Source organism: Homo sapiens, chromosome 8, assembly GCF_000001405.40.
Source record: "Homo sapiens chromosome 8, GRCh38.p14 Primary Assembly".
NCBI classification, from domain to species: domain Eukaryota; kingdom Metazoa; phylum Chordata; class Mammalia; order Primates; family Hominidae; genus Homo; species Homo sapiens.
This window is the reverse complement of record NC_000008.11, coordinates 99,159,610-99,178,992: the sequence shown is the minus strand read 5'-3', so window position 1 is coordinate 99,178,992 and position 19,383 is coordinate 99,159,610. Positions and strand designations below refer to the sequence as shown.

The window sequence follows — 19,383 nt, the reverse complement described above, 5'->3', positions numbered from 1 at the left end:
AACCTGCTATTAATAGCTATTAATCAACATGCTATTAATAGTTCCAACATCAATTAATCAAAAGATGTCTAGGGCGGGCGCAGTGGCTCACACCTGTAATCCCTGCACTTTGGGAGGCCGAGGCGGGTGGCTCACTTGAGGTCAGGAGTTCAAGACCAGCCTGGCCAACATGCGGAAACCCCATCTCTACTAAAAATACAAAAATTAGCCAGGTGTCATGGCACACATCTGTAATTACAGCTACTTGGGAGGCTGAGGCAGGAGAATCGCTTGAACCCAGGAGATAGAGGTTGCAGTGAGTCGAGATCGTGCCACTACACTCCAGCCTGGGTGACAGAACAAGACTCTGTCTCAAAATATAGAAAAATAAAATAAAATAAAATAAATAAAAGATGTCCAATGCAAGCGATTTTATCTCTCTAGGTCTACCATATCACCTTCCCTAATCCTCCATTTCCAGATCTATAAAATAGAAATAAGGATACCTAACCTGTTTATTTCAAAGGTTGGTTGTGAGTATCAAAAAACTTCCTGTATGCAGTGAAACTTAGTTAAGTACAAAATGCTATACAAGGGGATTATGATGCTATTATTAGAAATTTTCTTCTGTCACTAACCTAAGCACTATCTGATCTTTTGAATATGGGAACCGCCAATGATTATTTGTTCTTACATTTCAAGGGGAGGGGGGAGGGATAGCATTGGGAGATATACCTAATGCTAGATGACACATTAGTGGGTGCAGCGCACCAGCATGGCACATGTATACATATGTAACTAACCTGCACAATGTGCACATGTACCCTAAAACTTAGAGTATAATAAAAAAAAAATAAAATAAAAAATAAAAAGAAATTAAATCATCAAAACACAGTTAAGAAAAAAATTTAAAGGTAGTCATAAAAAGAAAACCTAGGCTAAATTTAATAATTACTAACCAAGCCATTTCGCTTTAAAAAAAAATACATTAACAACGTAGAGTTCTTTTGAACTCAAAGAATACTACTGACTTTCACTCTCCCTCACAAAAATAATGAAAGAAAGATACATTTTTTAAAATGCTGTCACTAGAATAGAATGTTGTCACAGGATAATATTTTCCCACTGCTGTGCACAGGCAAAGCCAAATACTGAGGAAAAGTCAATATAATTATTCTGACATAGATATAGGTCATGTAGAAATATTCTCCAATAACCAAAAATCAAATTTAAAGGCAATAAGCTAAGAATGAGTTGTAAATGCTCATTTGGACACCACTAAACAAACTATTTTACTAAGTTTAAAACATTAAACTAGGGAATTGGAAATGCATCATATTTGCCTATACAACTTCACCCCAACTGACCATAAAATTCCATGTGGAAAATATCAAATTTTCCAAAATCACAATCAAAGGAAACTTTCTGTTCTCATTGGACCAACACTCTCTTGCTTGTTAACATATGTCAAGTCAAATGCTCTTTGTGCCCTTTCTAAAAAAATTAAAGGGAAAAAATCTAATATAAAGATACATACTATTTACCTATAATTGTGCTTTTTATATCCTTTTAATTTCATACACATAGGCCATGTTTTAAAAACTATAAATGTATGTATTTTTTGACAAGTTATTTATCTAAACACATTATCAAATCACAACCAAAAATATAAGGAAAAACAGAAATTGGCAAGACCATTAACATATACAAAGACTGGTCAGTCTTTCCAAGAAATTTATTTCAAATAATGCAGTGCCCCTATCATAGGATGGTCCATGTCATAAAAAAAAGTCAAAGGCAATCTTGAATAACTGGAACCCTTCTGCCAGACTGTACAATGTCCATTTGTTTTCTGGCACTGCTTCTCCTACTTCTTATCATCTGGCACAGGTCTGTGAGCACTCATCACTTCCTTGCTAATAAATGTCCTTGGTGGCATTTTTTTCCAGAATAGGGCACTTTCATCTGCACTTAAAATCTGTTCAGGTAGATATCCTTTCTCCTCAATAATTTTCTTAATGGCACCTAGGAAACTCATCTGCTGACTAATATGAGTTTCTTGGTAGCAGAAAGTACTTCTCCTGTTCTCTTGAAATTTTTTAAGCCAAACCTCTTTCTAAAATTGTCAAACCATCATCTGCTGGCATTAAATTCTTCACCTTCAGATCCTTCATCTTCTCTTTGCTTTAAGTTGTCACATAATGACTTCACTTTTTCTCAAATCTTATTAGAGTCTCTAGTATTCCTTTCTTATAGCAATCCTGCACCCACATAAAAGCTGCATTTTCAATACAAAATAAAAAGGTATTTCACAAAAAGTGAAAAGTGTTTGTGCTAGCTGGCAAAACTGAAGCAATGGTTTCACAGATTTCCTTTTATTTTTTATTTTTTTACAATAGTCCTTATGCTGAATTTATCTTTCTTGAAAGGGCAGGCAACTGAAGCTGCAGAATTCAATCTGTGGTACATATCAAGCAACTCAACTTTGTCTTATAGCATCATGGCTTTTTTCTGCTTCTTGGAACCACTTCCAGAATCACTCTGTGTGGACCCTGTGGTGTTATTCAAGGTTTACAGGGCTGGGCGCGGTGGCTCATGCCTGTAATCCCAGCACTTTGGGAGGCCAAGGTGGGCAGATCACTTGAGGCCAGGAGTTCAAGACCAGCCTAGCCAACAAGATGAAACCTCGTCCCTACTAAAAATACAAAAATTAGCTGGGTGTGGTGGCACAAGCACCTGTAATCCCAGCTACTCAGGAGGTTGAGGAACGAGAATCACTTCAGCCCAGGAGGCAGAGGCTAGTGAGCCAAGATCATGCCACTGTATTCCAGCCTGGGCAACAGACCAAGACTTCGTCTCAAAAAAAAAAAACAAAAGTTTATAGTATTTTACAGTATTGCACTAAGCCCAATGACAAATATGTGAGAACTGTGACAGATCACTTTCTATTGCAATACACAGTCATACTGTAGAGAGGAACTGCTCAGGGACTGCTCACATGGAGATGCTTACCATCACACAGCATTTTAAGCAGATACAACACAAAAGCTCACCGCAGTAGCAACAAAAGGTGGCTACGAAATTATTATAGTAGTACACCATGTAGTACTACAATTAACTTTATGCAGTTATGATTTAATACTGCATCTTTATGTTTGTTTACATTTCTATCAGCTCTGAATGGTGCCATGTGTGGTCCCTAAGCATTTGTGTGCATAAGTTTTAACAAATTTTACCTTTTTGGTTTTGGGGTTTGAAACAGACAGGGTCTCGCTGTCACTCAGGCTGGAGAGCAGTGGCATGATCATGGCTCACTGCAGCCTCAATCTCCCGAGCGCAAGTGATCCTCCCACCTCAGCCTCCTAAACAGCTGAGACTATAGGCACATGCCACCATGCCTGGTTACCTTTTTATTTTTCTAGAAATGGGGTCTGGAACTCTTGGGCTCAAGGAATCCTCACACCTTGGCCTCCCAAAGCGCTGGAATTAGAGGCGTGAGCCACCATTCCTGGCCAAATTTTAACTTTTTATAATAAATTTTTGTATATTGCATGGTAGTAAATGATAAAATAGACAAAATCCACATAAATTGTATGCATTCATAACATACCTAACTTTTTCTTCATTATTTTGATATTTCTAGGCTAAATGGTTCATCTGCAAATTTTCAAATTGTTACAAATCTCAAAAAAATTTTCCAATATAGTTATTGAAAGAAACTGAACTCACACAGTTCAAGCCCATGTTGTTCAAGCTGTACATGTTAAAATACTTGATGAGAAATCAAGTTTTTAGAAAAGCTTGCATTAAGTCCTGAATCATCAAATGCACCCTCCTACAACATCATTCAACAATAACTGAAGAATGTTTTCAGAGCTGGCAAATAAAAAATATATTTAATTTATCCAATGGGTTTTTTCATTTATCTGCAAGAATCTATATTTCAATTCCTATCACTGTTTGCTCTACTCCTAATTCGATGGTTTTCAGTTCAAACATGAATCATTAAGAAAAAGTAAAAATGCTGCATTCACTGAAACATAAAAAATAATAAATAGAAAAATGTTAAGTAATCCAAAAGTGTTATGCTATCAAGAACTATTTAAACACCTCCTTTCAAGGCTCAGTACAGCAAAAAGGATGATTTTATGATTCAATTTTAAAAGACAATCTACATGGAGCAATTTTTCTCTCCTTAAAATTCCCTTAATTAAGAGAATGTTTATTCTCTATTGCCATGAGGGGAAATAACTTGCCTATTTTGTTTATTGATGCATCTCCAGCCAGGACCCTGCAATATGGTTCCACACAGTGGAAGAAAATACTTGCAAATCATATATCTGATAAGGGATTAATTTACACAACACATAAAGAACTTCTACAACTCAAGGAAAAAAACTAATTAAAAATGAGCAAAGGACTTGAATAGATAGGACATGAAAAGATGGTCAACATTCCTAATCATTAGGAAAATGCAAATTAAAACCACAATGAGATATCACCTCATATTTGTTACGATAGCTATTATCAAAAAACAGAAAATAATAAGTGTTGATGAAAATATGGAGAAATTGGAACCTTTTTCCATCACTGTTGCAGGTGTCAAGTGGTGTGAAAATCAGTATGGCAGCTCTCAAAAACAGAATTACCATATGATACAGCAATTCCACTTCTAGGTATATACTCAAAATAACTGAAAGCAGAGACTCAAACAGATATTTGTACATGCATGTTCACAGCAGCATCATTCACAATAGCTAAAAGGTGAGAGGTATTTGTCAATGGATAAATGGATAAACAAAATGTGGCATATACATAAAATGAATACATAAAATTCAGTCTTACAAACGAATGAATAAGGAAGGAAATTCTGCTACATGCTGCAACACGGATTAATCTTGAAAACATTATGCTAAGTGAAATAAGCCAGACACAAATGACAAATATGGAATGATTCCATTTCAGTGAGGTACCTAGAATAGTCAAATTTATAGAGACAGAAAGTTGAATGGTGGCACTACTGCACAACAATGTGAATGTACTTAATGCTACTGAATTTTACATTTAAAAATAGTTATTTTTTGAAATAGTAATAGCAATTGTTTTAAGCAAAATGGTACAGTTGATCGAGCCTTGAATCAAGAAGGAGAGGATCAAATTGAGGCACTGATATTAATTAACTGTGTGGTCTTAGGCAAGAAATTTGACCTCTCTGGAACTCAGTTTTCCCATCTTTGAAATGAGAAGATTGTAACAGATGTTAATGTTTCTTTTTTGTTCAAAACATTCCATAAAAGCACATCTTAGATGGCAGAACCAAAGCTGAAAAATCAGTCTAACACCTATCAGGTGGAGATAAGAGAATTAACATCCCATTTAAGGCTTAGTAGTTTTAAGGCATTTAGTTAAAGGGAATGTTAATCACAAAACCAGACTGATGAACACAGTTTTGGAAGGAAGATCTATCTCCAGGTTCATTAAAAACACTCAAGTATAGCTTCTTGAGGCCTCGAACTGTGGTATTACGAAGAACAGGGCAGTTGTATAAACATCATTTTAAGCCCTGGAAGGTTACTTATTGTGTTGATAATAAGTATTACTGGCAATTTTTTTTAGACTTGAAGGTCCCAGTATCCATTAAAACTAAAAGAATTTACCCTGGTGTCACTCTGAGCTGGGGCAAATGATGCCTTCAGTTTCACTTCCAGGGAGGCAAAAGGATCAGTATCTGCCTCACCTGCCCTTCACACACCACATCAATACCACCAGCCTACCAGCACCAAGTCGTGTAACTTCTAATTAACACTGAACTCAAAGATTTCACAGAAGCATTTTTCCCCTGCAAATGATCTGTTCAATAACTTTGCTAGTTAAAATCAACAATTGGCACTGTGCTAAGTAAAAAATGGGAACTTAGAAGTCCCTCAACCTTAAAAAGAAATATGTGTTTTCACACATTTCTCTGAGAATGAAAATGCCTCATGATATATATAAGTAATAATTATATCAGAGAAGAAACATTATTCTTAGGCAGAAATCCAAGTATAAACTTCTCATAAAAGCAAACTTTGATTAAATAAAAGAAAGAAATTTAGAGCTGCCCAATAATGGTTGGCCCAGAAAGTAGCTAACATCCTTGAATAAAATGTTCAAGCAGTACACAGATGGCTATAAACCAAAAGTACGTCATAAAGACTCAGTAACTGGGATAATGTCTAAGATTCCACCTAATGTTAATATCCATCATTTTAAGATCAGAATTACAATAATATCTACATACTATTAACTAATACTAGCAGAGTTCAGATTTATTAGCTAGCCTTTCACTCCATGGAAATTTACTTTAACTATAGGCAAAAAGCATACTGGGCCTTCAAAACTGATTAACAGGGCCTTCAAAACTGATTAACAGAAGATTATATATGTCCCCTTCGCTCCTTCAAGTAATAAAACAATCAAAGATGTTCAAATCAGACAATCCTCTACGAAAATCTTGTGAGGCCAGTGTGTGACTTTGGACAACTTATTTAACCTCTCTGAAAATTAGAAAGAGTTTATAAGAGACAATATCATCTTATCTCACAGGACCGTCATGAACTTTAACTAGGTACCTAAGACTGTATAAAACAATATAGTATGCTCTTTCAGATTATATCCATTCCTCAATATCCTGCTTAAAAATTACCCCTCCATGTTTTCCATGACTTTCTAAGCCAATATACTATTTCTATACTCCAAACTTCCAAAATATGTTGCATATATTTCTCTACAAATAGAATCACACATTTGAACCCTCAATTATAGGACAAAGTGAATTTGAGACTATATTTTAGTTAGGCTTTAACAAACATGAACATGAAGAAATGGGACTAATGAATATTTGATTAACTGGTTTAACTATCTTTAAGTGTTCATATTAAAACATTTAGATATCATTGCTCATGGACAAGTCTAAGGTAGAGTAACTGTCCAAATTCTTCGCCCACTGTATGCAGTGATAGATACATGGATATCTGTCTCATCCACTAATGTCCAATTCTAACAGGACCTCATCTCATCAGCTATCTCTGACGTCCCAGGGAAACTGTCTGCTTTCTTTAAACTTATAGGACATACTGCTTAAGCAGTATTTTATTGAATTCAAACTGCACTAAAACCAACCAATATCTCAATTTATTAAGTTTTCTCTTTATTTTCAAGTTACAGTTACTAAAGTTTTTTTTTACATTTATTAAGAAAATTTCAAGAAATATTTCAAATCAATATACTTCTATAAAGCATAGCAAAAATATCACTGAAATAACACAGAAGTAGTCTTAACTACAAAAAAGCAAAACACATCCAAAAAATATTGGCATTCTGTGATCTCATGCTTTCAGTATTTAATTGGAATATTATTTCTAGATGTCTGTAGGCATATTTTAAGTAACATTTGACAGTATTCATAATACCCTCTTTGTATCCTTCAAATAAGTCTTACTTATTTCAATATTGATTTTATATAAAGGCTATAATCATTTTGAAAAATATGGACTTTTTTAAAGAAATTAAGAATTTTCTATAGTAAATTGCACTGTTTGCAATAAAACTATTTTGGTCCTAGAAATGATAAATTAATCAGCACATAACGGAGAAAATAGTTTTCACAAATACCTATTAAAATTGATATCACCATATCAACTGTGACATATCCCAGTTTATTTCTTAATAGATCAGAATATAAAACTTGACTCAAATGCAACATACCATGTATGCTAATAAAAAGTTAAATCTATCTCTATATAACATAATAAATGACATGTGAGAGGTATGGAGGAGTAAGGACAAAATGAAATTTATCACTAGAAATTAAGAATTATCATTTAATAATGGTTTCACTTTATAGAGGAATTGGTACTAAGACTTAACTACGACTTTTAAAAAAATTTTCTGTATCAGCAGGCAAAGTTTCTTGAAAATATGAGCGATTATTTTATAATTTCATTTTAAAAGTTATATATTATTAAAGAAACAAATTTTTAGCAACTGAAGTATTTTAGATAAGAAATTAATGCTAATTTTCTAAAGGTTATGTCATTTTTAGTAAAAAACTAATAGAAAAACTATCCTGCAAAAATAAGCTTACTAATTAGAATGAGAATACAAAAGACATATTCTAAATCACATTTTAAATTGGAAAAATGGTTCACTAAAAATTAATTTCATATATTTAAACATTATTTTATATATTTAAACAATATATTAAAAGCATTCCTTTAAACTAAAAATTTATAACTGGTAACTACTGGCTTTCTTTCTGTAAATCTCTCCGAATTTAAGGAAATGTGACCTCCAAATATAGCATTCAATTCGGAATGAAAATGGTGAGGGCTACAATCAATTTCTTATAAAATATAGCTACTAGACATGTAAATACATTCTAACTCTACATAATGTGTATACTTTTGTCAGTGGGTATGAATATATACGAAATTATTATTTAATAGATAAATACTTTGGTCTTGAATATTAATTTATAACTTTTTAAAATCTTTATACCCACTCTTGAAAAAAAGGCACTTCCTCTTACAGTTCCTATTATAATCTCAAGTAGTATTTTACACACATCCAACATGAATTAACAGTTATTACCCTAATAACAGTTATTGCTATCACAAAAGACATGATGAACTAACAGATTTCAGAAACTTAAAAAAGACTTTTAGTGTCTCAGTAAAAGTACAAGTTTAGATTTTTTTTCTAAAGTTTTGTATAAAACTAGCATGGGCATAAGACAGATACATTTGGGGGTTTTTTCCCTCCTAATAAATGGAAATTAACATAAATCACATTTTAACATGTAAGACTTACCAGCATGTGGGGAGTTTCAGAAGTTTCCCATAAAGAGCAGTGCTGAAAGAGGGAATAACTGGTACAGGTAAGCAGTAAGATCCACTGCAATCCAAAGACGTCAGTCCTGCCTGGAAACCAAATATCTAAAACAAAAAGAAAAGATGCAAGTGTTCACACAGACAAAGTTTTAATAAGCACAGGATGAAATACGTCAGTTTCAACTTGCTTTACAACAGCTGCACACTAAATATGTTCCAAAGTCTTTTTCCACTTCCCAAACGATCAACATTTTCTTCTATACAATTTGACAGTAGGTCAAAATTAAGAAACTTAAATATACAGTATTTATTTCACATCCCTGAAAGATCACTGCTCTTTTGACAAATTTTTTTAAGTTTCACATTTTATTTCTATACATACTCCTCAGGTAGTGTTTTATTATCTGCTAAAATATACATTTTTCCATAAATATAAACCGCTGACTGCATTTTCTACACAGTAAACTACAAATTTTATAAATTAATGTTAATATTTTATGACTAAAATAACATTAACTACAAGAAAAACTGTTTAAAAATGTATTTTGTCTTCACCTTGTATAATGTACATACAAAAAGGATATCGAAAAATATCCTAAAATGTTATTTCTATTTTCTTTTGTGAAAATAATTGTGGGATTGAGGTTTTAAACCCCAGAAAACTTGGTACATGGCATAAATTACTCTTCATATGTACAAGCATGTCTATGCTTAAAGCAAGCAGACCATACTACAAAATTTTATAAGCAATCCCTGAAATTCCTGGATACTATATTTGTCATAATAGAAAGAAACAACATAACATCACGTTACATGAAATACTGTAGAGAACTGATGATATTTCTGCTTCAATTATTTGTAAAACAACAAAAGATAAACACCTCAGAGTGGAAATACACACATGGATACAAAACAAAGAGTTACTGTTTTCCAGTAAATGTAAAAGTAGCTTAATCTCAACATTTATCTTTAGTTACTGTTTTTTATCCCTTGGGTTTATAAAGCACTGACTTCCATATCTCTAGAATTAATATCAACTGTGAAGTTCTATAATAAAATATGTTTAGAATTTCTTCATAACTGATTTCAAAATACTATTTAATGAGCATAAAATAATTATCAATTTCTTTAAAAGTATTAAGCTACTTCCAAATAGTTTCAAAAAGCTATTATACTCCTAACATTCATCAAATCGACAATGTCAAATTATTTCTTATACACTCAGTTTTGAGTGAACAAAACAATGTTTTAGAAATAAAACATTTTTTAAAATTACATTTTCAAGGAAAACTGCATTTCAAAGAACCTACTTATGTAATTACTATCAAGGAAAACAAAAGTGATGCACCCATCAGCACCTATAACCTGCTATTAACCAATAGATAAGAAGTACAGAATTGAGAAAAAGATATCTTTCTAATACTGAAATGATTACTTAAAATCATAACTTAAAATTAAGATATTTCACATTCATTCTTTTTGAAGACCTGTTCTGAGCAATAATGTATGCAAAGTACTGCGTTGGTTTCTGTACAATTTCAGGATTTCTTATTTCCTCATAAAGGCCAAATATTCAAAGGATTCTGGAATTTACAGTTATTATTATAACAATACAAAACATTTTTAAAACAATATCCAACTGCCAAATATTTCGAGTTATGAATAAAGATAATATTTTATCACATCATATTACCTATGCTCAACTAAGAACTCTCTCAAAGCCACTGTCAAATTTTCCATTAAATGCCCCAACAGTATAATCACAGACACTATCTACCAACTGTACTCAGAAGGAAATTGGGTGTAGACGAGATCCCCTGCTGGTTGTCTGCAGAATTGCAAAGGGCTTTGGGGAAACTACATACTATTCTGTCATTTTTTTAAAAGTCTTTATTATACTTTTGTGTTGCCTAGAGATGCTTCTAAGAAAACATTCAACCAGGTGAAAATTACAATAAAACAGGACCTACTGGACAAAGAAGTTACCTTCTAAATATTGCCAAATTATTATGAGTCATATTTTTGCTTCCTCTATTATCCACCAAATCAAAAAGAACTATTTAAAAATAAATTTTTAAACTCTCTCTTTTAAATTACAGCAATCAGATACATAGATTTACAAAACCTATATAAGCTAATAATTTGTCAACATCCCTTGACCAAGACTATAAATACTTAATCTGGAAAAAGCAGAACCAGCAGTGTAAACTGAAGTTGCTTTCATGAAGGATAGCTCACATATTCAAAAACTGGTTTGGTAAATGTTGCAAACTAATAATCTGGAGCAATAAAAATGTATGAAACAGTAAGTATAACTACCAGTAGAAATTTTAGCTAAAGGAAACTGTAAAGTTGAATAAGAGAACTTACACATCTCATTAAATAAAAAGTTAAACATGTATTGCCACCTGTTTTTAAAAATCCCAATTAGTAAATAACAAAAATGAATACATCATCAAGATTTTAACATTTTACAACAAATGTTCTTGAATTAATATCTCAAATAGAAGAAATTGTAATGGATTTAGAAACATTATATGGCAACTTACTTCTGTAAGATTTTGCCAAAAATTATCATAAATTAGAATTTGCTATTTTAAAAAGACAAAAGTATAAAAAGCACATGCTAATTGTAAATGACAATAAAAACATTATAATTATGATATACAATAAATAATTTTTGTTACTGCCATTATAAAACACATGGTAGTTTTATACCATTAAATAAAACACATAATAGTATAAAACACATAATAGTATAATCAGCATCATAAAGATTTGTCCCTTCACTAAAGGAACAAATAAGCATTTCTTTCATTTTAAAAGTTGGTATGTATGCAATAATACACTGAAACACATAAAAACTGAAGAAAGAATAATAATAACTAGGGTTGTACAGCATAATAATGAACACCTTGTGAAGAAAAACTCTTCAGGGGAAAAGAATGAAATCAAAATCAACCAAAGAATTTTAGAGCTCAAACTGCTTAGAGATTATTTAACTCAATCATCTCATTTCACATGCAGGAAAAATGAAGTCCAAAAGGATTAGGGACATCTTTGAAATTATATATTGATGTAACAAGGATATGATACTTCATTTGATGTAGCTCATCTATTAACTCAAAATTTCACCCGATCTTCCTTCCTTCCTCTATTTCCTCCTTCTCTTCACCTAAAAAGGAATGGCTGATTCTCTGTTTATTCTTAAAGAAAAATAAACAATCTTTCTCACAATGGTTTATTGCTGGGCACTGCATTCTTTTCTACGGGTCTATATGTCTGTGTTTACAACAGTACCACACTGTTTTGATTACTATAGCTCTGTAGTAGCTTCTGGAATCAGTAAGAGTAAGTCCTTCAGCTTTGTTCTTTTTCAAGATCTTTTTGGTTATTTGGGGTCCCTTGAGAGTCCATATGAATTTTAGGATGAGTTTTTCTACTTCTGAAAAAAGACATTGGAATTGTAATAGAGTCTGCACTGAAAATGTGTAGAAAGGATAGCATGGACAATATTAAGTCTTCCAATTCAAGAAGATGAGATGCGTTTCCATTTATGTATATCTTCGTTTCTTTCAGCTCTGTTTTGTGGTTCTTATTGCAAAAGTCTTTCACTTCCTTGGTTAAGTTAATTCCTAAACAATAAACCTCTAAGAAAACAGAACAAAAACCAACTACAGCCTACAGGCCAAATCCCACACACTGCTTGTTCCGGGATAGCCTACAAGCAAAGAATAATTTTTACACATAAACATTTATAATCAACATGGTGGGAACAATAAGTTGAAATCCCAATTAGGTGAAATGTTGTCCCTCCAAAAAGAGTTCCATTCTTCTCATTAATAAAACTGTATTACCTGGCCAGGCACGGTGGCTCATGCCTATAATCCCAGCACTTTGGGAGACAGAGGCAGAGGTGGGTGGATCACGAGCTCAGGAGTTCAAGAACAGCCTGGCCAACATAGTGAAGTCCCGTCTCCACTAAAAATACAAAAAATTAGCCAGGAGTGGTGGCACGTGCCTGTAATCCCAGCTACTCAGGAGGCTGAGGCAGGAGAATCACTTGAACCCGGGAGGCGGACGTTGCAGTGAGCCAAGATCGTGCCATTGCACTCCAGCCAGGGCAACAGTGCAAAACTAGATCTCAAAAAAATAAATAAATAAAAGAAAAATAAAACTGTGTATTACCCAAAAACTGTACTCAATTATTACATTTTGAATATTATAAACTCAACATTTGTAAAATTTGTTCTCTCTCTTGTTATTTAAGTTCCTACATAATATCCTCAATTTTGCCACTTGGTCCACAAAGCCTAAAATATATACTGAGCCTGTAGGCAAAATTTTGCTGACCCCTGCTGGAGGGTATACACTGAAAATTGGAACAAATGGGTGGTAAGGTAGATGTGCTTTCAAATGTATTACATGCTGCTACTTCCAAAATAAATATGCCAATTTATGTAACCGTAAAATGTGTATGAAAACATTATTTCCTCCAAATCCCCTGGGATTTTCTTGAGGTAAAAAATTAACAGATCCAAAGAATCCAAAGGGTTTCCATCCTACTCTAACTCCTTGTTCTGTCTGAAGTATGTATTGCAGCTGATCCATATGAATAAGGCCTTAAAGTTATATACTATTCTACAAATTACACAACGCAGTCACATTACCAAATTTTCTACATATGTTTCAAATATCAGATGCCTTGAAACTCTTAGCTACTCAATACCATACATATTCAAACGATGGGTTTGCCAGATACATAAAGAGGAATTGGTAAGCCATAAGCAAGTGTCATCTCTCGGGGAGAGGAGGTTGAAGAGATGTTAGGCAAAGCATACAAAATTTCAATTAGATAGGAGAAATAAATTTAAAAGATCTATTGTACAACATGAAGACTATAGTAAATAACAATGTATTCTATTAAAAAATCAATGACAGCAGATTTAAACAGTTCTCACCACAAAAATGATAGTATGTGACATAATATATGTTAGCTAAATTGAGCTATTTCAAAATGTATACATATTTCAAAACATGTTATAAACAATAATATATACAATTTTGTCAATTACAAATAAAAGGAATCTTTCATCTGCATATTTTCCATACAGATCCATGCCAACTCTCCCAATTGGTAAATTTTATTACATGAAGTGGGAATTATGAATCATTTTCTTACACTGACAAAGCCATCAAAACGGGAAGGAGAGGGGAGAACAGCAGCATAAGCAGCTGGCAGAGGCAGCAGAAAGGAAAGAAAAAGTCGAAGAGAGAAAGAGAAAGTCAAAAAGACAGAGAGAGGAAGAGACAGAGAGACAGAAAATCAAAGAGGGAGTCAGAAACAGAGACAAAGAAAAGGAGTCAGAGAGAAAGAGGGACAGACACAGAAAGTTAAAGAGAGAGTTAAAAAGAGAAGAAGAGACAAAGAAGAAGTCGAAGAGAGAAAGAGAGAGATGGAAGTAGTAAAGAAAAAACAGTGTATCCTATTCCTTTAAAAGCCAGGGTAAATTTCTATCTACCCAGCCAAGGCATATTCTACTTATGTGGGTCTTCAACCCATATTTGCTTCTCAGACAGTTTGCAAGAAATAACGAAATCTATCCTTACTTTACAATCCCAAATAGACTCTTTGGCAGCAGTGACTCTCCAAAACTGCTGAGGCCTAGACCTCCTCACTGCTGAGAAAGGAGGACTCTGCACCTTTTTAGGGGAAGAGTGTTGTTTTTACACTAACCAGTCAGGGATAGTACGAGATGCTGCCCGGCGTTTACAGGAAAAGGCTTCTGAAATCAGACAATGCCTTTCAAATACTTATACCAACCTCTGGAGTTGGGCAACATGGCTTCTCCCCTTTCTAGGTCCTGTGGCAGCCATCTTGCTGTTACTCACCTTTGGGCCCTGTATTTCTAACCTTCTTGTCAATTTTGTTTCCTCTAGAATCGAGACCATCAAGCAACAGATGGTCTTACAAATGGAACCCCAAATGAGTTCAACTAACAACTTCTACCCGGGACCCCTGGACCGACCCACTGGCACTTCCCCTGGCCTGGAGAGTTCCCCTCTGAAGGACACCACAACTGCAGGGCCCCTTCTTCGCCCCTATCCAGCAGGAAGTAGCTAGAGCAGTCAACGGCCAAATTCCCAACAGCAATTGGGGTGTCCTGTTTAGAGGGGGGATTGAGAGGTGACAGCATGCTGGCAGTCCTCAGAGCCCTCGCTTGCTCTCAGCACCTCCCCTGCCTGGGCTCCCACTTTGGTTGCATTTGAGGAGCCCTTCAGCCCCCACTGCACTGTGGGAGCCCCTTTCTGGGCTGGCCAAGGCTGGAGCCCACTCCCTCAGCTTGCAGGGAGGTGTGGAGGGAGAGGCGCGAGCGGGAACCGGGGCTGTGTGCGGCGCTTGCAGGCCAGCTGGAGTTCTGTGTGGACATGGGCTTGGTGGGCTCCGCACTCAGAGCAGCCAGCCAGCCCTGCTGGCCCCGGGCAATGAGGGACTTAGCACCCCGGCCAGTGGCTGCCGAGGGTGTACTGGGTCCCCCAACAGTGCTGGCCCACCGGCGCTGTGCTCGATTTCTCGCCGGGCCTTAGCTGCCTTCCCACGGGGCAGGGCTCGGGACCTGCAGCCTGCCATGCCTGAGCCTCCCACCCACTCCATGGGCTCCTGTGCAGCCCGAGCCTCCCCAACGAGCACCACCCCCTATTCCACGGCGCCCAGTCCCATCGACCACCCAAGGGCTGAGGAATGCGAGTGCACGGTGCAGGACTGGCAGGCAGCTCCACCTGCAGCCCCGGTGCGGGATCCACTAGGTGAAGCCAGCTGGGCTCCTGAGTCTGGTGGGGATGTGGAGAGTCTTTATATCTAGCTCAGGGATTGTAAATACACCAATCAGCACCCTGTGTTTAGCTCAAGGTTTGTGAATGCACCAATCGTCACTCTGTATCTAGCTGCTCTGGTGGGGCCTTGGAGAACCTTTATGTCTAGCTCAGGGATTGTAAATACACCAATCGGCACTCTGTATCTAGCTCAAGGTTTGTAAACACACCAGTCAGCACCCTGTGTTTAGCTCAAGGTTTGTGAATGCACCAATTGACACTCTGTATCTAGCCGCTCTGGTGGGGCCTTGGAGAACCTGTGTGTCCAAACTCTGTATCTAACTAATCTGATGGGGACGTGGAGAACCTTTGTATCTAGCTCAGGGATTGTAAACGCACCAATCAGCGCCCTGACAAAACAGGCCACTCAGCTCTACCAATCAGCAAGATGTGGGTGGGGCCAGATAAAAGAATAAAAGCAGGCTGCCCGAGCCAGCATTGGCAACCCGCTCGGGTTCCCTTCCACACTGTGGAAGCTTTGTTCTTTCGCTCTTTGCAATAAATCTTGCTATTGCTCACTCTTTGGGTCCACGCTGCTTTTATGAGCTGTAACACTCACCGCGAAGATCTGCAGCTTCGCTCCTGAGCCCAGCGAGACCATGAGCCCACCGGGAGGAACGAACAACTCCAGACGCGCTGCCTTAAGAGCTGTAACACTCACTGCAAACGTCTGCAGCTTCATTCCTGAGCCAGCGAGACCACGAACCCACCAGAAGGAAGAAACTCCAAATACATCTGAACATCAGAAGGGACAGACTCCAGACGCGCCACCTTAAGAGCTGTAACACTCACCGCGAGGGTCCGCGGCTTCATTCTTGAAGTCAGTGAGACCAAGAACCCACCAACTCCGGACACAATTTCATCATATAGCCAATACAGCCAAGGTTCAGTATACAAAATTAAAACTCAAGGATTTGTTTAAGTACTTAATTGAAAATTATATATGGACTAAAATGCCAAACACACGAATCCTCTACTGTACTACTGTAATATGATAAAACTAAAACTTTAAAAACTTCCTCAAAGGCTACTAAAATCAACCCAAGTAATATGAACTGCTATAAACTTTATAGCAAACTGGTAAATGGAGTCACATCACAATAGCCGTATAAAAAAAAACTCTCTACCACATCCTGAAAGTATTCAAAAGTCCTATGTCACAGTAGAAGTATGAAAATGAAATGAAATATTCAAGACAAGATTCAAGGCTTTATTTTCAAAAGTATTTAGTATTCTTGGCCGGACGCAGTGGCTCACACCTGTAATCCCAGCACTTTGGGAGGTCGAGGTGGGAGGATCAATTTGAGGCCAAGAGTTCGAGACCAGCCTGGTCAACATGGTGAGACCCTGTCTCTACTAAAAATACAAAAATTAGCTGGGTGTGGTGGTGCACACCTGTAATCCTAGCTACTCGGGAGGCTGAGGCAGGAGAATCGCTTGAACCTGGGAAGTGGAGATTGCAATGAGCCTAGATTGTGCCACTGCACTCCAGCCTGGGTGACAGAATGAGACTCTGTCTCAAAAAAAAAAAAAAAAAAGGATTTAGTACACTTAACACCAGGGAATGGTTTTCCCACGCATATTAATGCTATTCCCACTCTGCCTAACACCTTACTTCCTGAGACATTAAACGTATCCATTATGACTGTATTCAAACAAGCCAAAATATAAAAGAAAACTAGACAGCATGTGTAGCAAAGGCCCTTTTTCCAAAATATAACTATATCGGTAGTACACTGTAAATAACTTTTACATTACACTGGAAATGTGAGTTTTAACATATTGACAAGTAGAAATCGTGAAGAAGTATTCCAATAAATTTTATGTCAGTATGGATGGTGACTATATTGATGACCAATGGTTTTGGTGAACATCCTTCTTGAGTATAGAGACTCACTTCATTTATCTATAAGCTGAATGTCAATGTTTTATGTTGACTGCATGTTAACCAATATTTGCATATATTGGGTTAAATAAAATATATTATTGACATGAAAAAACAAAGCAAATATTCTTAACACTGTAATCTGATATTAAATTTGTACCAATATTTTTTAAAATTGTACACTTCTATGTATTAATTGTGACAATAAATAAAGCTTAAGTATAAAGCATTGAATCTGAAAATTATAGAGTATAAAGCATTGTAAAGTATAAAGTACATTTATAATCTTTATATCTAGGTTTTGAAAATATTTCTGCTACTCTCCATATAACATAAAACATTATGGTAGATCACTAAAATAATGGCCCCAATGAGTCACACTTCCCTGTGTCCACACCCTTTTGCAATGTGATCTGTTGTTCTTCCACCAAAGGAGCCATCCTTGAGAAAAAAGGCTTTGCAAAAACAACCAAGAAAACATGTTCTTCTAGTCTGCAATGGTCTGAAAACAGTCAAATGTTAACATCTTACATTTATATACACCTGCAGGTGATCTAAAACTGGTATCTTGAAATTGGTTTATTTTTGCGTTACAGATATACAAATACTTAAAAACTTTATAACTTCAAATAAACTAATTAGGCCAAGAGCCTATTTGTGGAGTCCTCTAATCTTTTGATACATTACATGAAAATTAGTGCTTTTTTAGTACCTTTTTTTTTTTTTTTTTTTTTTGAGACAGGGTCTCACTCTGTTGCCTAAGCTGGAGTGCAGTGGCGCCATCACAGCTCACTGCAACCTTGACCTCCTGGGCTCAAGCAAATCTCTCACCTCAGCCTCCCAGGTAGCTGGCACGCAACCACAATGCCTGGCTAATTTTTGTATTTTTTGTAGAGATGAGGTTTCACCACTTTGCTCAGGGGGGTCTCGACCTCCTGGGCTCAAGTGATCCACCCACCTCAGACTCTCAAAGTGCTGAGATTACAGGCGTTAGCCACGATACCCAGCCAGTACTGATTCTTAAATTCAACTTTTTATAGTTTTCTTTTGTTCATAAAACAGAAGTTGATTGTGTACACACTATTTCTATTTAAACTATACATCTCTGCTTGCTTAGCTAAAACATGTATTGTTCAACATTTGAGGTTATTGTTTGTATATACCTGCATTGGATGTATTACTTATTTTTTAAAAATTGAAAGAGCTGGGGAAAGCTACCAATAATTCACTTTACATAACCAGATGGACATACCCAGGAGATACTGCAAGTTCCACATCACCACAATACAACAAATATCACAATAATTTTTGGTTTCCCAGTACATATAATAAAAGTTATGTATACACTTATACTGTAGTCTATTAAGTGTGCAATAACATTATGTCAAAAAAAAAAACTTATATACCTTAAATAAAAAGCACTTTATTGGCTGGGCACAGTGGTTCACACCTGTAATCACAGCACTTTGGGAAGCAAGGTAGGCAGATAGCTTGAGCTCAGGAATTCGAGACCAGCCTGGGCAACATGGCAAAACCCCATCTTACCAAAAATACAAAAAATTAGCTGAGCATGGGCATGTGTACCTGTGGTCCCAGTACTTGGGAGACTGAGATGGGAGAATCACTTGAGCCCAGGAGGTGGAGGTTGCAGTGAGCCAAGATCATGCCACTGCACTACGGCCTGGGTGACAGAGTAAGACTCTGCCCTCACCCCTTACAAAAAGTACTTTATTGCTAAAAAATGCTAATGACCATCTCAACCTTCAGCAAGTAATA

General features: G+C 36.0%; 1 protein-coding gene across 3 annotated transcripts in view; it reads right to left on the bottom strand.

Annotated features, from left to right (window-relative positions):
• The window catches only part of VPS13B (vacuolar protein sorting 13 homolog B), an 864,307-nt gene that overhangs the window by 698,588 nt on the left and 146,336 nt on the right, over positions 1-19,383 (bottom strand). For all 3 annotated transcript variants that reach the window (NM_152564.5, NM_017890.5, NM_015243.3), the window contains exon 16: positions 8,830-8,954. In NM_152564.5, coding sequence (NP_689777.3) covers positions 8,830-8,954 — 125 coding nt within the window. The remainder of the gene's footprint in view (positions 1-8,829; positions 8,955-19,383) is intronic.